This window comes from Homo sapiens, chromosome 11, assembly GCF_000001405.40.
Source record: "Homo sapiens chromosome 11, GRCh38.p14 Primary Assembly".
NCBI classification, from domain to species: Eukaryota; Metazoa; Chordata; class Mammalia; order Primates; family Hominidae; genus Homo; species Homo sapiens.
In genome coordinates, this window is record NC_000011.10 from 75713828 (window position 1) to 75740065 (window position 26238).

Genomic DNA, 26238 nt, shown 5'->3' on the forward strand with positions numbered 1-26238 from the left:
ACAATTCAGGTATTTGCCTGCAAACTTTAAGTGACTTACACCCCATTCCCTTATATCTACCACTAGTTGTGGGGTTTCTCTCTCTCTCTCTCTGCCTGACTTTGCATTCATGACCCCAGGATGGAGCACTGCCTTCGTGACTCACGGCACCCTCCCTGTCCAGGATTCATAAGTAATAAGTTAGTGAACATATTTTTTATTGTGGGGTGTATTAAATTTGCACCCTCTATCTGAAGAACCAGAGACTACCCCGATGGCTCCCAGAGTCCAAGTAATGGTCAGGCAGACATAAATTGGACACAGATCTGATAAGAACCATCAGGGCATCTGCCAATGTATTTTCCTTTTCTTTTTAACTTTTTTTACACAACCTTTTCTGAATCCAGAGCATCTGCCACTATAAACAAGCTTCCTGTGTGAGGGACTCCCTGGTTGTGGGTCGGACAACTAGGCATTAGGCTGTCCCCCAGGTAAAGGGAGTATCCTATGGAAAACATACTGTAAAACCCCACCCCGCTCAGGCAGTGTTGCTAGCTGCTCCGGTACCGGAACTCTAATTTAGCTGAGGGCTCTTAAAAACAGTGTGGTGCTGGCAGAGATAGATAAGAGGACAAACAGGAGAGAATAAAAGCCCATACACGGACCACGCATCCGTAGAACTGTCTCACATGACAGAGGTGGCATAACATATCGTGGGGAACGGAGGGAGTGTTCAACAAAGAGACTGAAAAAAAATGCTTATCCACATGTCAAAAGCTCAGATTGGAACCTAACTCATACTATCTAAACATCCAGATGAATTAGGACTTACATATAAAAAACAAAACTTCAAAATTTTTAATGAAATGTATAAGTAAGACAAGATTTCCTAGATCCAACCAAACAATGTGTATTTTATAAAAGACTGGAAAATATGACATATTGAAAAAATGTTTGTTCATCAAAGGACATCTTAAAAGACAAGCTAGGGCTGGGCGCGGTGGTTCACGCCTGTTATCCCAGCACTTTGGGAGGCTGAGGAGGGTGAATCACTTGAAGTCAGGAGATCAAGACCAGCCTGGCCAACATGGTGAAACCCCATCTCTACTAAAAATTCAAAAATTAGCTGGACATAGTGGCGGGTGCCTGTAATGCCAGCTACTTGAGAGGCTGAGACAGGAGAATCACTTGAACCTGGGAGGTGGAGGCAGCAGTGAGCCGGGATCGTGCCACTTCACTCCTGCCTGGCAACAGAGTGAGACTCCTTCTCAAAAAAAAAAAAAAGACAAGCTAGAAACTGGGAGAAGAGATTTACAATATATATGCCACACCAAAGGGTTAATATCCTGAGTACATAACGAAGTACAAATGATTATGAAAAGCACAAACAACACTCCAGAGAATTGGGCAAAAATAAAGACCAAGCTTTTCACAGAAGAGGAAATGCCCATAAATAAAGAGATGTTCAACATTAGTGTAGGCCGGGCGCGGTGGCTCACGCCTGTAATCCCAGCACTTTGGGAGGCCAAGGCGGGCGAATCGCCTGAGGTCAGGAGTTTGAGACCGGCCTGACCAATATGGTAAAACCCCATCTCTACTAAAAATACAAAAATTAGCCAGGCATGGTGGTGGGCACCTGTAGTCCCAGCTACTTGGGAGGCTGAGGCAGGAGAATGGCTTGAACCCGGGAGGCAGAGGTTACAGTGAGCCGAGATGGTGCCAGTGCACTCCAGCCCGGGCGACAGTGGGAGATTTGGTTTCAAAAAAAAAAAATTAGTGATAAGAAAATGAAAATCAAGAGTAAAATTTGGTCTCATTTCATACCCTAGCAAGACAAGAAGAAGTCTGACCATACCAAGGGTCAGAGCAGATCCATGGGGGTGGGGGTGGGGTCTCTCGATTCTTGGGGAGACTATACCTTGATGTATTATTTTGGAAAACAGTTTGGCTCTACTCCCAAACTTGAACATTCACATATTCATAAACCCAGCAGTTTCTCCTGCTGTGTTGAAATTGTGGAGAGGAGAATGAGGATAGAAAGTAAACGGAGAGGCCAATAAGGAAGACAGAGCCAGTCTATAAAAGAGGCTGGCTGTGGAGGTAGACAGCAGCTGTTCAGTTCAAGAGACTGAAATCAACAAAACACTAGAACAAGAAGGTCATAGAAAATGATATCCAAATGGTCAGTAAGCATATTAAAATGTGCTTATATTTATTAGTTGTTAGGAAAATGCTATAACCACAATGAAGGACCACTACACACCCACCAAAATTCAGAACTCGGAATTCTTATATAAGGCTATGGGAGTGTAGATTTGTACAACCACTTTGGAAAACTCTATGGCTATCTACCATGAGACCCATCAATTCTATTTCCAGGCACATACCCAACAGAAATGTGTATAGATGTGTACTGAAAGACATGTACAGGAATGTTCGTAGCAGCAATATTCATAATAGCCAGAAACAGGTGACAGCCCAAATGCCTGTCAGCGTCCAAATGGACACTTTGTGGCATATTCACACAATGGAATGCTATACAGCAATGAAAACAAAGGCAATACAGGCACATATGATGTCTCAAAAGAGTATACACTAAATGATTCAGTTTTCATAAAGTTCAAGAACAGAGATGAGGATGGTGCTGAGCTACAGGGAGGAGAGCAGTGACTGGCAAGGCCAGAAGGGGTGCTAGGTAAGTTCTGTTTGTCGATCAGAGTGGTGATAACTTTCACTTTGTGAAAAGACATTTCTCTGTCCGCTTAGGATTTGTGCATTTTTCCGTATGTATGGTATACGTCAATTTGAAGTTGACATTTAAAAGGAGGGACTTAGAAGAACTGATAGGACATGGTGACTGGTAGAGGTGGATGGAGAAGAACAGAAGGGATCTAGTGTGACTCAGGTTTTGGCCTGAGCAACTGGGTAAATGGCATTACCCTTTACTGAGATGGGAAAGAGCAGAGGAGGAGTCAGTGGGGCAGAAGGGAGGTGGGGGAGGGAATCAAGTTCACCTTTAGACATGCTACGATGGAGGTGCCTATCAGGCATTCAAGTGAAGATGTCAAGGAGCCACCTAGAGATTCAAGTTTAGAGCCCCAGGGAGCAGAGCTGCAGATGCAGATTTGGAAGTCTTTGCTGTGTAAATACAATGCAAGGTGTGAGCCTGGATGAGATCTCAGAGAGCAGAAACTGGAGAGAAAAGAGAAGTCCCGAGGATGGAGTGGAGGAGGGGGACTCGAACAGCTGGCCTGGTGAAAGACGAGAGGCACAAAGGGAGCAGCCAGAGAGCTAGGAAGAAAACTGGGAGAGCATAGTGTCCAAAGGCCAAGTGGTTTCAAAGAAACGGGAATGATCAACCATATCTAATGCTGCCAATAGGTCAGGATGAGATCTGAGAATTGATTACTGGATTTAACATCATGGAGGTCACTAGGGAACTTGCCAAGGGCAGTTTTGTGGAAGGGTGATACCTGAAGTGTGGACCACCATTTGTGGTACCACAGATGGGAGGTGAGGACAGGAAGGCATGAAAGATAGCTCTTCCGAGAGTTTGCTGTGTGAGTGAGCAGAAAAATGGGGCAGGAGGTGGAGGACACAGTGTGGGTGGGGATTTTTAGGTGGGAGTTAGTACAGCATATGTGTGGAGGGGGAACAATGGACAGGACAAGGTTATCCTATCCATTGACCTTGGGGCCAGGTCATTGAATAGGTGGGAAGGGGGTGAGATTGCATATGCTTGGGGCTTCACCTGCCTAGTTATAGGAAGGACAAGATTTAAGCAATTGGGGAAAGGCAGCCATGCAGATAAGGCATTGCCTGAGAAAGTTGATAAAGGCTATACAACCCCTTCTCTTCCTCCTTCCTTAGCCAGGCTCCAGCAGGTAGATTCAAAGGTTTCTTGTAGGATAGAATTTCCTGCCTCAGCAGGGGCAAGGAGGCCTTGGGGCTGGGCTGGGCTGGGCTGGGTGTGGCACTCTCCCTGCCAGCTTCTACAACCTGGGGAGGGAACAAAAACCTGTGGGTGCCTCAGACCACAGCAGAGCTCACAGAACCTGCGGGAGCCAGGCTGACCCGCCAGCATGGTAGAGTTCGCGCCCTTGTTTATGCCGTGGGAGCGCAGGCTGCAGACACTTGCTGTCCTACAGTTTGTCTTCTCCTTCTTGGCACTGGGTAAGTTGGGCTGCACTGTAAGACGGGAGACCACCGCACTCAGGTGGGGCAGAGCAGCCACACCAGGTGCACACAGCACATTGATGGTGGCAAGACATTTATCCTAAAGGGGGCTTTGTTGCGCTCAGAGCCCCTGCCCAGAGAGAACTCCTGGGCCTGCCCAGAGGCTTCTTGGGGGTGGAGTGGGGTAGAAGTCACCGTCTGCTGCTCTGGGCAGGTTACTTACTCTTCCTGGCTTGCACTGTGGGTTCTCCTTTGGCACTTGGATGAAGACCAGTCTGCAGGCTGCCAAGTGGTGTGGGAAAGCCTCTGGGCGATGACGGGAAAGTTCTGGGCTCTGCAGCCTGCTCAGAGAGGAGAGATTTCCTTCTGTGCGCTCAGGGAGGAGGAAACTGGGGCTGGTAGTAGGGTAAGTGAGAGAAACAGGGAAAGAAAAGAAGGGTGGGGAGAAGGTGCAGACTGAGAGTGGACTGTGGAGTGGGCATGCTGGGTACCAGGAAACCCGGAGTCAGACTCAGCTGGGCAACTGACTTTAGCCAGCCCATGCCTGACCTCTCCAAGCCTCGACTTCACCATCTGCAGAACGGGGACAACAATGCTGGCCTTGCAGGGCTATTGTGAAGGAAATGAAGAAATGTGCTGACCTCTGCTTGGCACAGACCTGGCCTGGACCCTGGGCTGGGCTCACACTGGAGGGCATGAGCATGGCCCCTTACCCACCCCACCACTGATTTGTGGCCAGAGAGATCACCCTTGCCCAAACAATAGCTCTGCCAAAGGTAACATTTTCTAGGAGGGTCTGGATCTGTGGCTTGGGAAGGGAGAATGACTAGGAGTCCGTGGGGTTTTTCCTTTCATCTGCTGGCACCAGACAAGGTAGGAACTGCTGCTTCCAGGGCTGAGGTTCAGCCTGTACACAGATACCACTCTCCTGGTTGTTAAAATATTGACACACTCTGAACACATTGCTCAGTAGCCATCTCTCTTTCTCTCTCTCTCTCTCACACACACACACACACACACGTACTTCCTCAGAAACTCCCCCACAATTCTGTAGTGAAAAAACTCCCCCTTGGCAAAGCAGGCCCTCCAGGACCCTGCCCTAGCATCCCTTCTGGTTGAGCTGTGTCTCTGTTCTAAGGGTTTTTAGACATTTTACACATTCCTGTATACCCCCTTTGCACAGATGAGCCAAACAATCAAGGATTTGCCTCCAGTAAGGGCTGAGAAACCATCAGTCAGAGGGGAATTCCACACTAGGCCTGGTCTTAGCCCTGATGCACCCCTGATTATGGGGCGGCCAGGGGCTGGCCTCTTCCTCCCTCCCTCCTTTCAACAACAAACGTCACTGGTCACTGAAGGCAAAGGAATCAGAGCTCAGCAGGTTTGGGAACACTGTGTAGTTCAGAGTGGCCACAGACAAGAGGCAGGAGCGGGAGGGACAGGGCCAGCTCTGGGGCTCCTGGAGGCCAGGCTGAGCTACTTGGACTGTGCCCAAAGTTATGGGGAAGTCATGAAGGGCTTGAATAAGGGGAGGCACCTGGCTGGATTTATCTCTGGGAAAATGGGGCAGAGGATGAACAGAAAGAGAGCAGGAAAGGGTCTCCCTTTGCTCTGAGATCCCAAAAGATGGAAACTAGAACAGTTTATCCAACCAGTTGTCCCCATTGATTGAGCACTTAATGAGTACAAACAACTCTCCTGGGGAGAAGGAGGACAGGCAGGGGATGGAGTGAATTAGGCGGCCTGGTGCAGTGGGAGAAAGTGAGCTTTGGAGTTAGGCCTACCTAGGCTCAACGCGTGCTCCCAGTGACACTGGGCTGGCCGTAGTCCCTCTCAGGGACTTTGTCTCCTCTTTGAATGCCCCGGAAGCTGCTGTCTTCCTCCTGGGCCCGAGGATTGGACAGGACAGTGCTGCTAGTGCCAGGCCTATGGGCAGAGTTCAGTCTGAGCAATCTCACCTGCCTTCCTCTCAGACCCCTGTCCCTGACAGCTCCTTCTTCCCTCCCCAGCCGAGATCTGCACTGTGGGCTTCATAGCCCTCCTGTTTACAAGATTCTGGCTCCTCACTGTCCTGTATGCGGCCTGGTGGTATCTGGACCGAGACAAGCCACGGCAGGGGGGCCGGCACATCCAGGCCATCAGGTGCTGGACTATATGGAAGTACATGAAGGACTATTTCCCCATCTCGGTGAGTATTGAGGCTGGTTGGGGTTGGGGAGGGAGTTGGCTGGGGTGTGGTCAGGGCCAGAGTGCCGACGTCTCCATGGGAGAATATGGCCCTGCATGCACTGAGGAGGGTACTGGGCTGGGAGGCAGGAGCTAGGGCTTCCGCTACTATGTGACCTAGAGAAGAGTCCAGCTTCTCTCCGATCATGGTTTCGCATCTGCAGGGATGCGGGGCCAATATGTGGATTGATGGATGTCCAGCATTTGAAGGAGTTCTGTGGGTTATATGGTGTGAGGCATGCCTATGTATCTTAAAGGCACAAACCCATCAGCAGCCCAGGCTTGGGAGTGAAGGTAATAAACTTACAGGTTCTAAGGACCATCTAGCCTCACACTTAACATTCATCAGAAGAGGAGGCTGACACCCAGAGATGGAGGAAATGTCACCAAGGTCACACAGCAAGTTCTTTTACAGATTTCCAAGTGTGTACACTGACTGTGGGCAAAGGGACAGAGGAGAGAGCCCTGAATTGTTCTCAGATCCTACCCTGACCCTAACTCTGGCATGTGGTATATCTTTGGGCAAAGCTTTATCCTGTTCTGAGGCTCAGTCTCCCCATGTATCTAGTAAGTACACTGATTCCTCCTCCTCTGCATGCCTTCAAATCTCTGGCTTTCCGACTCCTGTCACCTCGTGGTCATTGTGGACGCTGGGCCCTGGACTTGAAGTTGTGTCCAGAGCAGAGCAGATCCCTGGATTTGAGTGAGCAGATCTTTCGGCTCCTTCAACGGAATCCCAGGCAATTTAAAGCCTTGATCTATGCAGCCAGGCAGTGATGGTTTATTGGCCAGAAGGGATAGGATGGGGAAGGCAGTGGGGACGCAGAGAAGGGACAGGCAGGGGCAGTTGGCCCTCCTCTGGAAGCAGGAGAGAAGAAAGGGGTAAGATATGGCCCGTGGAGACAGGCAGACTAGATTCTGATCCCAAGTCTGCCCCATACCATATCAGCTGTATGATCGTAGGTAAGTTGGTCTCTCTGAGCCTCAGTTTCCTCATATGTAAAATGGGGATAATGACACATACCTCACTGGGTTGTGTAGATTCAATGAGACAAAGCAAGTAAAGCACTTTGTAGGTTTTCTTTTTTTTTTGAGATGGAGTCTCGCTCTGTCACCCAGGCTGGAGTGCAATGGCACGATCTCAGCTCATTGCAACCTCCACCTCCCAGGTTCAAGCAATTCTCCTACCTCAGCCTCCCGTGTAGCTGGGGCTACAGGTGCCGGCCACCACACCTGGCTAATTTTTGTATTTTTAGTAGAGACGGGGTTTCTCCATGTTGGTCAGGCTGGTCTCGAACTCCCGACCTTAGGTGATCTGCCCACCTTAGCCTCCCAAAGTGCTGGGATTACAGGTGTGAGCCACTGTGCCTGGCTAGCACTTTGTAGGTTTTCAGTAAACAGGTAGCTAGTATTATTTTACCTCGGCAGTGGGACTCTGAGGAAGTGTGGTCGTGACCTCGAGTCTGGGGAGGACTCTGAGAGCCCAAGCCCTGCTGCTCTGACCTCCACACCTACGTAACTTCTCCCACCCCGCCTGGGAACCCTACCTCTTCCTGTCCCATCAGAAACAAGGTCTCCAGCTTGCAAAGGGGGAGGGGTAGAGGAAACAAACCCACCAAAGTTAAGCAACTTGTCTGAATTATGGGAACGCAGGGTGGTTGGGGTTCCTGCCTTGCTCCCTTCTGAGAGTCCAGGGGCCCAAGAAGGACTAGCAAAGGCTGAGCCACAGCTGGAATGCAGGAGCCTCTAGCACTGCAGTGAGCAGGGCCTCCAGGGCAAAGGGCAATGGGGGTGCTGGGCAGACAGCGGGCAGCGGCTGGCAGAGACTGCCGTGCTCACGAAGGGTGGTAGATGTGGTAAGGCGGAACATGGTCTAGCCTGGGGGGCTCAGGATGGGGGCAGTTTCCCCTGCACCTCATATGTGTTTCCTGCAGGGCCCACTCCTGGGTCTTGTCAGCAAAGAAACTTAGGGCTTGCTGAGTTCTGGGAGCAGTCATGGACGTGTCAGAGGCAGAGTCCTCATCCCCACCCCAGGACCTCTGCACTTTGAGATTCACCTCCCTTTCCTGCCTCTCCTCTCTCCAGCCTGGGCTTCCTCTTCTGTGCCAGGAAGGTCAGAGTTTCCCTGGGAAAGTGTGCTGTGGCCAGCCTGGGGACGTGTGTGTGACATCAGGGACCAAGCCAAAGAAAACCTGAAGCAGGCTCTGGCCTCCGGGAGAGCTTCAGAGGTTCTGGCTCTGGTCTCACTTCCCACTCTTGAGCTGAATCCCAAGCTCACCGGGGGGGAAAGGAAAAGCAGCCTGAAAAGGCAAACACACAAGCACAGGCCCAGACACTTGCCGCAGGGTGAGTTCTGAGCCACAGCCTGACATTCAGCGCGGCTAAAGCAGAAGGCAGGCCTGCAGAGGAGGCTGGGGAGGCCCTCAGGTCAGAGGGTGGAGGCCATTGGAGGACATTCCGCAGGACTGGGACTGCTCACCTGAAAGTTCTCCCGGGGTGTCTTCAGCCAGCCCAATGGCCTCAAAGGACAGCATCTGGCCCTCTTTGCACCTGGAGCATTTCCATTTGCAGGTCTGGCAGAAATGCTGAGGCAGCTCTGCGCCTACCCTATCAACGTCCGTCCTTCCTGCTCCTTCCCCAGCCAGGTGGCTTTTGAGGAGGATATCTCAACCTTAGTACTGTTGACACTGGTGGGACACAGGCCTCGATTTGCAGAAATTCTATGTGCATCTTTTTGTTTCTTTGTTTTGGTTTTGTTTTTGTTTTTTTCGAGACGGAGTTTCACTTTTGTTGCCCAGTCTGGAATGCAGTGGCGTGATCTCGGCTCACTGCAACCTCCACCTCCCAGGTTCAAGCGATTCTCCTGCCTCAGCCTCCTGAGTAGCTGGGATTACAGGTGCCCGCCACCACTCCCGGCTGATTTGTATTTTTTTAGTAGAGACGGGATTTCACCATGTTGGCCAGGCTGGTCTCGAACTCCTGACCGCCCACCTTAGCCTCCCAAAGTGCTGGGATTACAGGTGTCAGACACTGCACCTGGCTCTGTGCACTGTTTTGTTTTTTGTTTTTTTTTCCAGGATCCTTCCTCACCGCAGGCCCTTTGCAGCACCATCTGCCGAGGGTGACAATGCCACTGAGTGGCCAGCAGAGGGCGAGATGATGTTCATTTTGACTATGTCCTAAGCTGGGCCTGTGGGGTGGGGCTGTGGCCTGTAGACGCTCTTTCCATAGACCCTCCCACCCTCCCACACGCCTTTACTGCCCAGGCCCCGCAGGGATCATGGGGTGAAGAGACAGTAGGGATCCTCATTCCTGGGCTCAAGCAATCCTCCTGCCTCAGCCTCCCAAGTAGCTTGGACTACAGACACGCACCACCACAACTTTTAAAAAAATGTTTGTAGAGATGGAGTCTCACTGTGTTGCCAGGCTGCTTGGCCTCCCAAAATGCTGAGATTAGAGGTGTGAGCCACCACACCTATCCCACACCTTTTAAATATACTGAAACCCTGAATGTCATACTTTAAACGGATGCATTTTATGGTGCATAAATTATATCAACTAAAAGCAATAGCAGCCCCCAGAGCCTAGTAACCTGGCTGTGCCCTTCTCCAGGCCCCACTGCCTACTGCACACCCAGCCTGCCAGGGCATGCACCCAGGCAGGATTTTCCCCAGACAGCCATCTATCTTCGCTTAGTCACACTCCCCTCGCCTAACAGAACTGAGGGAGGGAGACAGACCACAGCACTTCACAAACCTCCCCTCTTCTTTGTTTACCCCCCTTGAACCCTGTAGCAACCCTGCCAGGGAGGCGTTATCAGTGTCCTGTGGGACAGAAATAATTGAGCCACAGAGGGGACAGGGGCTTGGCAATGGTCATGTGATGAGCCAGCGGCAGAACCGGGGTCTCCTGACTCAAGGTTCTTTTTCCCACTAGTGGAACCCTGGTGACATGCCAGGATAGGATTGGGGTCAGGGAGCCTTCCTTCTGAGGCTGTACCAGCCTCATCCATTGGGCTCATTCCTTCCTTCCTTCATGCTATACCCTTTCCAGAGCATCTCCTCTGTTCCAGGCCTGCACTGGGGACACAGATGCATCAGATACATGGTCTGTAATCTTCACAGGGATGTTGTGATAGATTTGGGTCCAGGGGACAGATGGAAGAGGTTAGCACAGAAAGATACCAATAGAGACCACATCTAGGGAGGTGCAGACCACACCTCAGTATCCAAGTGCCTGCACTGTGGGAGGGCCTGTGTCTAGGTCACTGAGCCAGTATTAGCACATGCATTTATGTGCACGTATCCAAGTTCATGCTCGGTGGGCGCTTGTCATCCCAGCTACTCGGGAGGCTAAGGCAGGAGAATTGCTTGAACCCAGGAGGCAGAGGTTGCAGTGAGCTGAGATCACGCCATTGCACTCCAGCCTGGGTGACAGAGTGAGACTGTCTCAAAAAAAAAAAAATTCAAAAACAGACCAAAGGGTAGGTGTGAAAAGTCCTCATTCCACATCATGTCCCATCTCCCCAGTTCCTGTCCTCAGAGGCAACGATGACTACCAGTGTTTGGTGTATCCATATAAAGCAAATGTGTTTTTCCCTTCTCTGCACAGTTGCAACACTCTCCACACATTGTCCCCCACCTTGCTTTTCCAGTTAACAAGCTGCCATGGCCCTTTTTCCCTATCAGGACAGAAAAAGCTGCTGTACTTCTCTATGGTGACACAACGGTCCATTGTGTGGATGTTTCACAAATTGTCTAAATAGGCCCTGCTGATGGTCATTTAAGTGGATGACAAATTTTTCATATCACCAAAACCTGATGCTTCTGTGAATAACCTTGTTCAGGTGTCATTTTGCACAAGTGTGAGAAATTCTGTAGGCTAAATTCCTCAGCAGTGGAGTTGCTGGGTTAAAAGATCAGTTATATTTTTTGGGTTTGGTAGATATTGTCAAATTGTGTTTATGGAGGTGCAAAATTACCCTCCCACTAGCAGTGAATGAAAATTTATAAGCAAGTGTTTCCATGCATTGAGCTAGATAGGTTTTTAAAGAACCACCACCAGGCCAGGCACGGAGGCTCACACCTGTACTTTGGGAGGCTAAGGTGGGCAGATCACACGAGGCCAGGAGTTTGAGACCAGCCTGGGCAACATGGTGAAACACCCTGTCTCTACTAAAAAATACAAAATTTAGCCAAGTGTGATGGCATGTGCCTGTAATCTAAGCTGTTTGGGAGGCTGAGGCATAAAAATTGTTTGAACCTGGGAGGTGGAGGTTGCAGTGAGCTGAGATCATGCCACTGCACTCCAGCCTGGGCAACAGAGTGAGACTCTGTCTCATAAATAAATAAATAAATAAATAAATAAATAAATTGCAGAGGCCATGTCCGGGTCAAGGACAGGAGAATGTGGAACTGTTCAGCCTGGATGGGGCAGACAGGCTCCAGGCCTTACAGATGTCTCCAGTCTGCTCTGAGAGAGGGCAGCCAGGCCTCTGCTGCTCCCCAACAAGAACCCTCAGGGAGTCACCAGCTGCATCTTGATGACAGGAAGAATTTTTACACTGGCAAAGCTGTGCCAGAGGGGAAAGGCTGGCCTCTGACCTGAGGGAGTGCACATTGCAGGGCCTGGGCAGTCCTATCAGGGAGCCTCCCGATGGGGTATGTGTGATTGGGCCAGAGACCCTGGGGACCCTTGGACTCCGATGGCCGGGGTCTTCCAGACACAAGGCACTGAAAAGGGTGGCCCCCGCAGTTCCTTACAATCACCACCCACAGCGATAGTCTTTGTAGATTCAGCTGCTTGGCACAGCCCGTCCGGTATCTGGCCAGGAGCAGCATTTGTTAACTGCATTTCTTCCCCTTTCACCTTCACCCCACTTCACCTAGAAGCTGCTAATGACAGCAGCTCTCTCTCACTCAATCTACAACGTCCGTTGGATGCTGCTACACTCTCATGCTGCAGGCCTGGCCAGACCCAGGCAAGCTGCTGCGATGGCTGGGGAAAGAGAGTGGCCAAGGGGCAATGAAGGCCTGGCGAGGGGAAGCAGAGAGCCACAGGGTGCCATGCATCATGCATACGGGTAAACAGGGCTAGAGCTTTCCACCCAACAGGACTCGCTCCTCAGATGGCCTACAAAGCCTCATTCCCACATCTGAAGTGCCAATTTTTTGCCCCGAGACATCCATTGGGGACTGGTTCCCGGACCCCCGCAGATACCAAAATCCACTGATGCTCACGTCCCTCGTATAAAATGATGTAATATTTGCCTATACCTTATGCACATCCTCCCATATACAGTAACCCATCTCTAGAATATGTATGACACCTAATACAATGGAAATGGTATGGAATGTTGTTTAGGGAATACTGATAAAGGAAAAAAGTCTGTATATATTCACTACAGGTGCAACAATCTATTTTTTTTTCTGAATACATCTGAGGTTGTTTGAATCCATAGATGTCTCATGGATATGGAGGAACATTGATTTTTTTTTTTTTTTTTTTTGAGACTGAGTCTTGCTCTGTTGCCCAGGCTGGAATGCAGTGGTGTGATCTCGGCTCACTGCAACCTCTGCCTCCTGGGTTCAAGCAATTCTCCTGCCTCAGCCTCCCTAGTAGCTGGGATTACAGGTGCCCGCCACCACGCCCAGCTAATTTTTGTATTTTTAGTAGAGATGGAGTTTCACCATGTTGGTCTCAAACTCCTGACCTCAGGTCACCCACCCGCCTTGGCCTCCCAAAGTGCTGGGATTACAGGCGTGAGCCACCGCGCCTGGCTGGAACACTGTTTTTCTTAAAATGGGGCTGTTTCAGCATGGCGGTGCCTCCATGTGGCCTTTTGGTGTCTTCATGTTATATCCTGTCCAGGTGGTGTTGGTATAAATAATTCTAGGCACCATCATACCTGAGTTTCTCAGTAGCCCTAGGAGGTAGCAGGGACAGGTCCAAATACTCTATTGCCACTTTACAAATGAAGAGCCTGTAGGAGAGGGAAGCAATTTGTCCCAAGCCAGCATCAAGTCTGTGGCACAGCCAGCACCATAATATCTCCAGGTGCTGTCACATACCATATCTGAATCTTCGTAAGAACCCAGGGTGGTCAGACATATGGATGAAGACCTGGAGGCTCAGAGGGGAGGTTTCCCAAGGTCACACCAGTGAGTGGCAGAGTCAGGGCTGGTACACAGGCCCCGCCCTGGCTCAGCAGGTTGCCGTCCCTGCAGCTGGTCAAGACTGCTGAGCTGGACCCCTCTCGGAACTACATTGCGGGCTTCCACCCCCATGGAGTCCTGGCAGTCGGAGCCTTTGCCAACCTGTGCACTGAGAGCACAGGCTTCTCTTCGATCTTCCCCGGTATCCGCCCCCATCTGATGATGCTGACCTTGTGGTTCCGGGCCCCCTTCTTCAGAGATTACATCATGTCTGCAGGTGAGTCTTTCTACCCCTGAGCAGCTCAGGAAGGTAACAAATTTTCGGAAGGGTTGCCAATAGTTCTGTACTTCTTCCAAGAGCGTGTGCAGTAGGAGAAGGAGGCTAGGCCCAAAGAAGCACTTCCTACAGCACCATGCTGGGCGCTGAGTCCATCAGGGGGTTGGGAAGAGGGAGAAGACTCAGGGAGCTCCTAGCTGGAATGGGGTGCAGTGGGGGAAAAACCCCAGGCCTCAGTAGGCATTGCTGGTGATCTCTTTATGGGCTACATGTACTTTCATAGCCCCTGCTCCCTCACCCCATACCTGACCCACTTTTCTCTTTCCCTAGGGTTGGTCACATCAGAAAAGGAGAGTGCTGCTCACATTCTGAACAGGAAGGGTGGCGGAAACTTGCTGGGCATCATTGTAGGGGGTGCCCAGGAGGCCCTGGATGCCAGGCCTGGATCCTTCACGCTGTTACTGCGGAACCGAAAGGGCTTCGTCAGGCTCGCCCTGACACACGGGTATCAAGCCTCTGGGAAGAGCACTCTGGGTTCAGTTGGCAATTGGCAAGGATTTTATTTTGGTGGGAAGATGGCAGAGACGAATGCAGATTCTATTTTGGTAGAGATTTTCAGTCCATTCACAATTAAGATTATATTTTGGTGTCTTATGCCCAAATACCTAGAAAAGTTTCCACAACGGAGACTCAGTGATCTAAGAAACTAGGTGGCAATGAACATATTCCACAAAGCTGGCATTTGATCTGAGATCTGTGGTATCTAGAAGAGTGATATTTGGGGTACATTTCAGAGCTGTTCTCCCTCCTTGGGGTGAAGCATCCTTGAGAAACATGAGCCAGCTGAGGTGGGAGATATTTTTCTAGGAAAAACAATGCAGATTTTTATATCTGGGAGGACTCTCTGAAGCATTCTGGTCTACCTCTCATGGTGCAACTGGGAAGTTGTGGCCCTGCAAGGGACCTGCCCAAGGTCAGAGAATGGGGCTGTGAAGGTCTGGGAGATAACCCAGGCCTCCACCTCCAGCCCAGGTGGCTGACCTCTGCTCCATTTCTTGGTCACTGAGTCCCTGCAGGAAGCTAAAGGGCCTTTCAGCTCGTGCCTTCTCTGGGGCCTCCCACATGCCCTCTTTCCTCTATTTGTCTCCAGGGCACCCCTGGTGCCAATCTTCTCCTTCGGGGAGAATGACCTATTTGACCAGATTCCCAACTCTTCTGGCTCCTGGTTACGCTATATCCAGAATCGGTTGCAGAAGATCATGGGCATCTCCCTCCCACTCTTTCATGGCCGTGGTGTCTTCCAGTACAGCTTTGGTTTAATACCCTACCGCCGGCCCATCACCACTGTGGGTAAGTCCAGGACCAGGCTGGGAGGGAGGAGGCCAAAGGGACAGGGCAGGTTGTGTGCTGCAAGGGGACATGGAGATGAGCCAGATTTATTCCTGCCCTAATGGGGCTCACATTCTAGACTGGGAAACATACACACACAAGCAGATAGAATAGAAGACAGTCTGGGATAGGAACTATAGCAGAGGTGCCAACAGCAATAGTTGTGACTAATTGCTGAGCACCTGCTGTGTGCCAGGCACTACACTAGCTGCCCTACATGAAGCAACTCAGCTTATCCTAACAATCTTCATGGCAGGATTTTTTTTTAAGAGTTTTGCTCTTGTCGCTCAGCCTGGAGTGCAATGGCACAATCTCAGCTCACTGCAACCTCCGCCTCCTGGGTTCAAGAGATTCTCATGCCTCAGCCTCCTGAGTAGCTGGGACTACAGTCGCTCGCCACAACACTCAGCTAATTTTTGTATTTTTAGTAGAGATGGGGTTTCACCATGTTGGCCAGGCTGTTCTCAAACTCCTGACCACAAGTGATCTGCCTGCCTTGGCCTCCCAAAGTGCTGGAATTACAGGCATGAGCCACCGCGCCTGGCCATACCTTCAAGACAGGAGTTACTATCCCCATTTCATTGATGGTAAACTGGGGCTCAGAGAAGTTAAGTAACTTCCAAAATATCACACTGTTTTTGAATAACAAAGTTGAGGTTTTTACTAAGATCATTCTGACTTTTTACAATGCCAGAGAAGGAGGGTTTAATTCTTTTTTTTTTTTGTTTTTTTTTGAGACAGAGTCCTGCTCTGTTGCCCAGGCTGGAGTGCAGTGGCATGAGCTCAGCTCACTGCAACCTCCACCTCCCAAGTTCAAGCGATTCTCCTGCCTCAACTTCCAGAGTAGCTGGGATTACAGGTGCGTGCCACCACGCCTGGGTAATTTTTGTATTTTTAGTAGAGACAGGGTTTCACCATGTTGGCCAGGCTGGTCTCGAACTCCTGACCTCAAGTGATCACCCAGGCTTTGCCTCCCAAAGCACTGGGATTACAGGCATAAGCCACCACGCCTGGCCTCCGACAGACTTTATAGAGAGTAGTCCATTCATGTCATCTCCATCCATCCACTTGCTAATTGAGCAGACTTGGTAAACCCCTACATCATGAACTCCCCTGTGTTGTGTAGCAATATTTTCATGAATTTTAATATTTCTGCTGCCTCCAGAGCTATTGCCAGAAGAGAGGACAGAGGAACTGCCTTCCCAGCCAGGCAGAACCAGAGAAAGGGATGAGTTAGGTCCTTCCTGGTTCTTCCCTGGGATGAGAGAAGCCACTGCAGGTCAGCGTGGAGGGGTAGAAGGGAAAGAAGAGCTGCCTGGGCTATGAACACACCCCATCTTAGAAATATAGCCGCTTCCATTCATGGCATCTTGGACTCCCCAAATCATATAGCCTGAAGGTAAAGGGCACATCCCTGGGGTCTAAAACCTGGCAGTGGTTCTTCCTGGCTATGTGACCTTGAACAAGTCAGGCAACCTCTCTGAGCCTCATTGACTCATCTGTCAAATAGGAATGACAGGTTTTTATACCCATAGGATAAAAGGGAGTATTTCATGTAAAGCACCTAGTGCATTGCCTGACACATTGAAATCCAGCCACTGGCTGGGCGTGGTGGCTCACACTTGTAATCCCAGCACTTTGGGAGGTCGAGACGGGCAGATCACAAGGTCAGGAATTCAAGACCAGCCTGTCCAATGTGGTGAAACCCCATCTCTACTAAAAATACAAAAATTAGCTGGGCATGGTGGCGCATGCCTGTAATCCCAGCTACTCGGAAGGCTGAGGCAGGAGAATTGCTTGAACCAGGACGCAGGAGGCAGAGGTTGCAGTGAGCTGAGATTGCGCCACTGCACTCCAGCCTGGGCTACAGAGCGAGACTCTACCTCAAAAAAAAAAAAAAAGAAAAGAAAAGAAAAGGAAGAAAGAAATCCAGCCGTTGTTATTATATCAGAATCTTGGAGTTGCCCTAATATCTTAAAATTCATTAGGGTTGGAAGGAATGGAGTAAGAGCACTTTTCTGCAGGGATGAACCATGGGGGTGGGCACCTGCACCGAGGGTCCCTTGCCTACCCTAGGCCACTGCACACCTCTATGCCTTGCAGTGGGGAAGCCCATCGAGGTACAGAAGACGCTGCATCCCTCGGAGGAGGAGGTGAACCAGCTGCACCAGCGTTATATCAAAGAGCTGTGCAACCTCTTCGAGGCCCACAAACTTAAGTTCAACATCCCTGCTGACCAGCACTTGGAGTTCTGCTGAGCCCAAAGGGCAGGGCCAACATTAGGGAGCCCAGCAGGAGGTGCTGTGCTGAGAAGACTTCCTGGAGGTGTTTGTTGAACATATCTGCAGAGCCTTCCCAGACTCCTGCAAATCCAACCCATATCAGGCTGTAAGTCAGAGCAGGCAATGCAGAAGAGGAGACCAGACCAAGGGGTCAGCTGGGGCTAGGACAGTGAGGGCTGCTAGAGGGGCTGGGCCTCTCTTTGCACATGGACACTGGGCCCCTCTCTATATTGAGTGGTCTGTTAACATTCATTGGTGGCTGATTCCAAAAGATGAGAGCCAAAGCTGCACGGACTCGAGTCCTAGGCTGCACACCTCACAAGCATCTCTTCTACTGCATTCTGTTGGTCGAAGCAAGTCACAACCCAGCAGATTCAAGGAGTAAGGAATAGGATCCCCCTCTGGATGGGAGGAGCAGCAATGTCATATTACAAAAGGGTGTGGACACATGCAGGGATTCTTACTGCCGTCTTTGCAAACAATCCACCAAAACTTAAAAACTAAAAGCCTGAAGCACAAGCACTCTCCACCCCAGGCACACACACCCTGGAATTCCCTGTGTGACCATGGTACCACCACTGTGTGTCCCGAGGATCCCAGCTCAGCTTTGCATCGCTGCCCTATCTCCCTCTCGCTCTCCCCTGTTGATCCCTCATGCACAGCCACAGCGAGCTGTCTAAAACACAAAGCTGACCGCGCCATTTCCTACTCAGCATCCTTCCATGACCCTCCATTGCTCCTAGGATAGGGTTTGGACCAGTCTGAATCCAGAGGATCAGGATCCAGCAGGAACCAGAGGATAATTTGAGGAGGGTTTAAAAAGGAACCATTTTTTGAGGTGTGTGCACTGTTTCCACCCTGAGGCCTGGAAGGATGAATGGAAGCAGCAGTTCCTGAACCAGGAAGACTCATGTGTGGGGGCCATTGCTGGTCAAGGGGCACGAACAGGTCTGGTGACCCTGCAAGGGAGGAGCCAGGAGCAAGCATTCCCACTTCACCTTCCTCCATTCAGTCTGCTGCCAAGTTCCCCACTGCCTGAGCCCAACTAGAAGCTGGAGGGAAGGAGGGCCTGTGGCTGCAGTCCAGGCATGTAGGCCTCCTGGGAAAGGGAGAATGGCAAAGACAGGCAGAGTGGATCTGGAGGGGTCAACGGAAGACGGAACATGTCCACTTCCAGGCCCGAGCTTCTCAGCCTGCCGTTTGCCACTCTCCAGCATCTGGCCCAGCCTGTCCATCCTCATCTCTCTTCCTCCCTTACTCCGTGCTCCCATCACTCGGAACCATTTGCATTTCTTTGTCTCAGCTATATTGTCTCACCTCTGAGTTTTTGCCCATGATGTTGGATGCCATGGAATGCCATATCCTCCCCATTATCTCCCCCTTGTCTGGATAATTCCTACTCATCCTACAATACTGATTTTATCTGTGCAAAGAAGTCTTCCCCAGTGCCTCTGGTTGACAGGGGTTTCCTCTGGCTTCTCCAGACTTTCTGTTCCTCCACCACAGCCCTTAGCACCCTGGGGAGGAGGTGTTGCTGTCCAGGTAAATGCTGCGCCAATGCCCCTGCCTCTAGTGCACTCCCTCCAGCCTACCCACAAACAGGACCTGCATCCTGTCTCACAAATAAAACTGAACTCTTGAAATGGTGTCCAATGCCTCGGGATAATGCCTAAACTCCTCCTCAGCCTGGCATTCAAGGCCTTTATCATCTGCCCTCTAGACCCCACCAGCCTCACCTCTGGACCCTCTCCCCTTGCCACCTGTCACTCCCGCCCCCTTCGCTGCTCTCTGAATATACTCTGCTCTTGCACTGGCTTATTTAGGGGCGCACCGTTCCCTTCCTTCTGGAACACTCTTTCTTCTCAGTCTGGTCAGCGTCACTCACTTCCAAAGGTCGCCTCCTTTGTCAAACCTCATCCTACACTTCTACCCTCAAACTCTGCCCTTTGCCCTGAATCAGCCCTCTTTTGCACTGTCTTCAGGGATGAAAGGGTCATAGTCATTCATAGGCGAGTGTACTTCTCTGTCTCCCAGTGGACTGGGAACCCCCTTAGGCCCTTATCCATGGTGGCTTCAGCCCCATTCAACCCAGCTCCACCGCCAGCACAGGACCTCAGCATCCCCAGTGAGTGGGAGTTGGTTGAGTAAATGAATTCTCACATGTGTGCTTCCTCTCAATCCCACCCACATGAGGCCTGGGGCAGGGATAAGGGGAAGAAGACTCAGGCTTTGCCTCCGAGGTGATTAAATTAGTTCTGCATCACTGCATGACAGATCACTCCAAAATTTGGCTGCTTTAAACAACAAACCCTCATCGACTCTCGGTTTCCGGGGGTCAGGTGTCTGGGAATGGCTTAGTGGAGTGGTTCTGGCTCAGGGTTTCTCATGAGGTTGCAGCCAGGCTGGGGCTGGGGCGGGGGCTGTGGTCTCTGAAGGCCTGAGTGTGGCTGCAGGACCTGCTTCCAGGCCTACTTGTGTGGCTGTTGGCAGGAGGCTTCTGTTGTTTGCTATGTGGGCCTCTCCACAGGGCTGCCAATTACTTGGCTTCTCCCAGAGTGAGTGAGCCAAGAGAAAGAGAGAGGCCACACTGCCTTTTATGACCTGGTCTCTGAGTTTCACACTATCAATTCCACCTTACTTTCTTGGTTAGATGTGAGTCACTAAGTCCAGCCTATACTCCATACAAGGGTGTGAATACCCAGGGGTGGAGTCCCTGGGCACCAGCTTGGAGGCTGGCTGCTACAGTGATGGTGGATGAGCTTCAGAGTCTAGACTGTATCACACTGATGCTGTTTACTTCTGCACAGGGCAGCTTGCCTTGGAGGACAGAGACTGAGCCAGCCATATAAAGGGGACCCAGAGGGGTGAGAGCAACAGTTTGAGCAAAAGCTGCAGGTAGGAATGATGACTGTGACCCCCCAGCCTGGGCTAGGATGGAGTACAAGGTGGCCATTAGACAGACGGGTGCCAGGATGGGAGATAAGGGGTAGGGGAGAGGCTTGAGGGGCCAGAGAGGAAAGGTCTCTCCTTCTTTCACAGCAACCTTGGAGGCTTCATGTTGAAGATATCAACAGCACAAGATGCAAGGTGTATAGAGCCCTGATCTCAGAGAAGGTCTGCCCAAGAGAGCCACCCAAGCAGGAATATCCATGCTGGACTTCGCATGTGCAAAAACATGCCCTTTTACTGGCTCAAGCCACTGAGATAGGAGTGTGTTTGTTATGGTAATTGGCCTCCCCAACTAATGTGCCAGGAGCTATCCACGTAAGGACTCAATTATTAATTTAGCACTTCCTAACAACTCTCAGGGGCCCTCAGAGCCTGCCTCAGAGGCCTCACCCTTATGTGGGGAAGGCAGCCTCCTCCCCTCCATACATGCACAGATAAAGGCAGCAGAGGATGGCAGGATGTGTCAGGCATGGTAGAGAGGGTCAGAGGCCCTCAAGTAATGGGGACAGCTGGAGTCTCCTCTGGAAATCAGCCTGCACTTTGACCTGGGGAGAAGTTCTCAGACATTATTTCCCAAGGGGACAAAGGGCCTGCTGAGACGCAGTCCCTCTGATACTGCTTTATGGTGACTTGGCCAGGGGTTGGCCAGCATAGCACAGCCAGCAGCCACGTGGCAGGGACAAGGCTGCAAGTGCAAGTCGGGTCCACTTGCTGAGTCTCAGCTCCCAAGGGGACTGTGCTTTGTGAGGGTTCAGAAGCAGGAAGGAGGGAGGAGGGCATCCAGATGGAAGCTGCTGAGTGAGCAAACACAGAGGGGAGGGAAAATGTGGGGCACAAGTTGGTGACAGCTGCAGGTGTGAGTCACGGTGCAAGGGTGAGTTTCAAAGAAAAGGAGGCTAGAGGTAGGTCTCTTTTTAGAAAACTTTTATTGAGTCCTTGCTATGTGCCAAGTGCTGGGGACAGAGTGGCAACCAAGCTGGATTGGGTCCCTGGCTTTCCCTTGTCTACTGAATGGTGGAAGCCAAATGTCCAGTCAAGGAGTCAGGAATTTCTCCCAAAGGTAGGGAGGAGCCCTGGAAAGTCCTTGAGCTGGTGTAGGTCAAGGGCAAGGCCACAAGGGCAAAAAATGCCTTAGGTTGAACAGGGCATTTGTCTTAATGACCTCACAGAAGGGCAGAGTCAGCACCCTGAGCCATTTACTGAGGACCTACTATGTGCTAGGATCTGGATGGGATGCTCTACATGTATTATGTCAAACACACCCACAGTGACCTCTTTATAATAGATGAGGTTCATTTGTCAGAAAGGCTAAAGGACTTTCTGGAATCCTGGCCCCAAGACGTGGACTGCCTGCCCAGACAGCTATCACATGCTCCTCACATTCTGCTGGGTTCTGGCCTCAGACCCAGCCGAATGGCACAATGGAAATGGCAGAGGCCGGAGAGCCAGCCTGGCTGCGTGACCCTGTGCAAGTCAGGTCCAGTTGCTGAGTCTCAGTTTCTTCACTTGTAAATGGTCTTCCCACAAATGGGTGTTCAATAAATGCCAGTTCTTCCTCCCTCTCCCCCTTTATAAATTCCAGGAAATGGTTTTTGAAAGACTTACGAGAGTTTGTGTCTATCACAAATGAGGTTAGGGCATTTCTAAGACTCTAGAGTCCCTTCAACCCCTGCTGGAAAACCAACCTGTTTCCCTTTTCAACAGTTGAACTGGTGTACATCTGTTCACATCTTTAGTGATAAGGTGAGGAGAAAATTATGACAGGCAGCTCGTTTCTGGCAGCCCCTTTTAGCTTTTTTTTTTGAGACAGAGTCTTGCTCTGTTGCCCAGGCCGGAGTGCAGTGGCACAATCTCGGCTCACTGCAACTTCTGCCTCCCGGGTTCAAGCAATTCTCTTGCCTCAGCCTCCCAAGTAGCTGAGATTTCAGGCACATGCCACCACGCCCGGCTAATTTTTTTGTATTTTTAGTAGAGACGGGTTTCACCATGTTGGCCAGGCTGGTCTCGAACTTCTGATCTCGTGATCTGCCTGCCTCGGCCTCCCAAAGTGCTGGGATTACAGGCTTGAGCCACCGTGCCCAGCGTCAGCCCCTTTTAAAGGGGACCTTAAAGAACAAAAAACAGCCACAAAACTCTGTCCCTATCAATAACATGTCAATGATTTAAGAGCCCCTCCTCTTTTTTTTTTTTTTTTTTGAGACAGAGTTTAACTTTTGTTGCCCAGGCTGGAGTGCAATGGCACGACATTGGCTCACCGCAACCTCCGCCTCCCGGGTTCAAGCGATTCTCCTGCCTCAGCCTCTTGAGTAGCTGGGATTACAGGCATGCGCCACCACACCCGGCTAATTTTGAATTTTTAGTAGAGACGGGGTTTCTCCATGTTGGTCAGGCTGGTCTTGAACTCCCGACCTCAGTTGATCCACCCGCCTCAGCCTCCCAAAGTGCTGGGATTACGGGTGTGAGCCACTGTGCCCAGCCAAAAGAGCCCCTCCTCTAAAAAAAAAAGTAAAATTGTCAAAAGCCTGCATTTGGGGATGCCCTAGGTCAATGCTTCTTGAAATGTCTGTGGTAAACGACCAGATTTTTGGTTTTTGCTTTTTTTCCCAATCCTTCATGGACCTATCCATTTTATAAGACACAATATAAGTTACTAGAAAAATGAGAAAAGAAAACTAAGACATAGTATAACATTTTATTATTAGTTTCAACAGACATGAAATTACTGTGCCATATTGCTCTGAAGTCTCTGAACAGTTCCGCTCCATTTCTGTAATTATTTTGTCAAGAACCAGTAACAAGCTGTTCATGGACGTGCATTGGTCTCCAGACCACATTGGAGTAACACAGCACTGCCCTGGAACTCTTTGTTGTGACTAAATGCTGGCATTGTAAGGTTGTTGCGAGTTAAGAAACACAAAACTAACCGGTGAATTGCAAAGTGCTATACACTAATTGGTTAGGGATGTCATCTTAGCCACTTTCACCCAGATAAGCTGAGAAGGCTCCTAGAAGGGCAGGGCTTGCCTGAAGTCACATAGCTGGTAAGTGGCAGATGCAGAACTGGCATCCCAGTTCCCACCCAGTGCTCTTTCCACTCTGCCTTGGGCAGTGGATACGAGGATGTGTCCCCAGGCGCATTTTCGGGGAAGAACTCCATTCCCAGCTGCAGGAAGTGTAGTCTGCCCCTTCTGAGATCACCTCCACTGCAGAGAGCTGCCTCTGCAAGGGCATACAGCCCATGACTGAGCCAGCCAGGGTAGAAAGGCCGGGCCACGTCAGCCCAGATCAATACAACTCTGATGGGACATTTCAGTTTGACTTCTCCCTCCATCCAAATTTGCTGCGTTCCCTTCCTTCTTGTGGTATTGACTCCAAAGGTTCTCTAAGAAACATCCTGTAGGCTACACACCATCTCAGAATCCACTTCCTGGAGAACCCAATCTGTGACATCATGCGTATTTAAAGGGGTAAATCTCAGTACGAGGCTCGGAGAGGTTAAAAAATTTGTCTGCAGTCACACTGTTTTTAAGTGGTGGAGCGAGGATTTGAATTCAGATCTGACTGCAAAGGCTGTATTTTTGTCTAATAAAGTGTGACCTGACTACCAGCTTGGGAAACAAAAGAAAGGATCAGAATGGTTGGATTTAATCTGTAAAATTAAAAATAACTCTTATTTATTCAAAATGGCACAGCCATTTTAGAAGACAGTTTGGCAGATTCTCATAAAGTTAAACATAGACTTACTACACAACTGAGCAACTGTGCTCTTAGGTATTTACTCTACTGATTGGAAAACTAGTCTATATGAAAACCTGTACATGAATGTTTATGGCCACTTTATTCATAATCACCAAAAACTGGAAGCAACCAAGATGTCCTTCAATAGGTGAATGGATGTTTTAAAAACCTGTGGTTCAATCCATACAATGGAATCCTATTCAGAAATACAGATAACTGAGCTGTAAATTCACACAATAGCATGGATGAATCTTAAGTGCATTTTGCTAAGCCAAAGAAGCCAGACCAAAAAGGCTACATACTGTATGATTTCACTCCTATGACATTCTGGAAAAGGATAACATATAGGGACAAAAAAGCATATCAGCTGTAGGGAGCCTATGGCTGAGGAAGCACTGGGAGCTTTCTAGGGCAGTAGAACTAATTCCTATGGTATTATAGTGCTGTCTACTTGATACTATGCATTTGTTAAAAACCACAAGGTAGGCCAGGAGCGGTGGCTCATGTCTGTAATCCTACCACTTTGGGAGGCCGAGGTGGGTGGATCACCTGAGGTCAGGAGTTCGAGACCAGCCTGGCCAACATGGTGAAACCCCGTCTCTACTAAAAATACAAAAATTAGCCAGGCTAGGTGGCAGGCGCCTATAATCCTAGCTACTCGGGAGGCTGAGGCAGGAACGTCGCTTGAACCCAGGAAGTGGAGGTTGCGGTGAGCCAAGATCATGCCACTGCACTCCAGCCTGGGTGACAAGAGTGAAACTCCATCCCCCACCCCCCAAAAAAAAACCCACAAGGTAAACTTTAATGTACAGAAATTAAACTTTTAGAATCGCCCAAAAAGTTAAGGTATCCCAGGGTAGAATGCAGACTGTGATGATGAAAGAATCTCAATTGTCTTATAAATGTATGAGAAAACTTCACTGAAGGGAGTGAGAGAACAAAGGGCTGACCTAAGTAACTTTGGGAAAGAATATTTTGACTGGAAACTGCAAGACTGATGTAAAAATACAATGTCCATAAACACTGCACCGTACTTGGTAAAGATGAATTTATCATGGGGGTGCAGGGTAACAAGTCTGAAACTGCCATACATGTGTTGCAATTGAACACATAAGTAAATAGATGACAGGGGCCACTTTTCTCACTGTTGGAGAAGGAGGATGACTAGAATGATCCATGTGGTAAGGAATTAGAGGGAGACATCATATGAACTCATATTTAGTTTAATATAGACACAGCTGGATAGATGCAATTATAAATAGGTATGTATACATGGGAAATATATGTCTCCTAGCTCTGTCTTCTGAGAGGGACTAGAAACAGTGGCACCCAGTAGCAACTAGCACACCGAGAGCTCAGATCTTGGTTTCTAATACCTTTCTCTAAAAAAAGAATTCCTGGCCAGACACGGTGGCTCATGCCTGTAATCCCAGCACTTGGGAGGCTGAGGTGGGAGAATCATAAGGTCAGGAGTTCAAGACCAGCCTGGCTAACATGGTGAAACCCTTTCTCTACTAAAAATACAAAAATTAGTCAGGCGTGGTGGCAGGCACCTGTAATCCTAGCTACTCAGGAAGCTGAGGTGGGAGAATTGCTTGAATCCAGGAGGCGAAAGTTGTAGAGAGCCAAGATTGCACCACTGCACTCCAGCCTGGGAGACAAGAGTAAAACTCCATCTCAAAAATAAAATAAAATAAGTAAAAAATAAAAATAAATATAAAAAGAATTCCTGAGACACTTAAAGAAATGCCTGATTCTAGGGCTGGAGTAGGGAAAATGCAAGATGAGCCTGAAAAATCTTGTAGTGCCAGAAAGTAAAGAAGTGCTTAAAAAAACAAAATGATGAGGATATCTCAAAAGGACACAGGAGCCAAACAGAACAAGCTCCCAATGTCCACAGCTGCAACAATTCAAACAATAAAATAAACAACATAGTACTGGGATTATAATCCAAAGTGTAAAATAAATATCCATGAGTACATACTGATATAAATGATTGAATAATAAATAAATGGGAGAGAAGAGACAAATCTCCCTAAGAGAAGAATCCCAAATAACTTCTGTAGAT

At 49.6% G+C, this 26238-nt stretch overlaps 1 protein-coding gene and 1 long non-coding RNA gene across 4 annotated transcripts in view, besides 1 other annotated feature; one reads left to right on the plus strand and one right to left on the minus strand.

Annotated features, from left to right (window-relative positions):
* The window catches only part of LOC105369392 (uncharacterized), a 16728-nt gene extending 12270 nt beyond the window's left edge, over nt 1-4458 (minus strand). Inside the window, exon 1 of the long non-coding RNA XR_950316.4 lies at nt 4379-4458. This is a non-coding gene — a long non-coding RNA (uncharacterized LOC105369392). The remainder of the gene's footprint in view (nt 1-4378) is intronic.
* MOGAT2 (monoacylglycerol O-acyltransferase 2) lies at nt 4011-19126 on the plus strand. Of its 3 annotated transcripts, none has more exons than NM_025098.4 (6): nt 4011-4152; nt 6165-6343; nt 13608-13812; nt 14143-14317; nt 14963-15162; nt 17305-19126. In NM_025098.4, the coding sequence occupies exons 1-6, from the start codon at nt 4062-4064 to the stop codon at nt 17457-17459; spliced, it is 1005 nt and encodes a 334-aa protein (NP_079374.2). In that variant the 5' UTR covers nt 4011-4061; the 3' UTR covers nt 17460-19126. The 3 variants fall into 3 exon arrangements, with proteins under 3 accessions (NP_079374.2, XP_011543569.1, XP_024304464.1); XM_011545267.2 differs by lacking the exon at nt 17305-19126 and adding an exon at nt 16367-16875; XM_024448696.2 differs by lacking the exons at nt 4011-4152; nt 17305-19126 and adding exons at nt 4446-4561; nt 16367-16875.
* Nucleotides 20113-20172: a silencer, noted in NCBI's record as "silent region_3773". NCBI's record gives its function as "represses an Ori minimal core promoter by ATAC-STARR-seq in GM12878 lymphoblastoid cells {active_cell/tissue: GM12878}" and the evidence as "EXISTENCE:reporter gene assay evidence [ECO:0000049][PMID:35858748]".

Excerpts from the sequence above, each read along its gene's own strand:
- MOGAT2 (XM_011545267.2), top strand. The coding sequence starts at position 4,062 with ATGGTAGAGTTCGCGCCCTTGTTTATGCCGTGGGAGCGCAGGCTGCAG. Across the intron at positions 14,318-14,962 it reads AGGCTCGCCCTGACACACGG|GGCACCCCTGGTGCCAATCT; the intron begins GTATCAAGCCTC and ends ATTTGTCTCCAG. Across the intron at positions 15,163-16,366 it reads CCGGCCCATCACCACTGTGG|AGCTATTGCCAGAAGAGAGG; the intron begins GTAAGTCCAGGA and ends TGCTGCCTCCAG.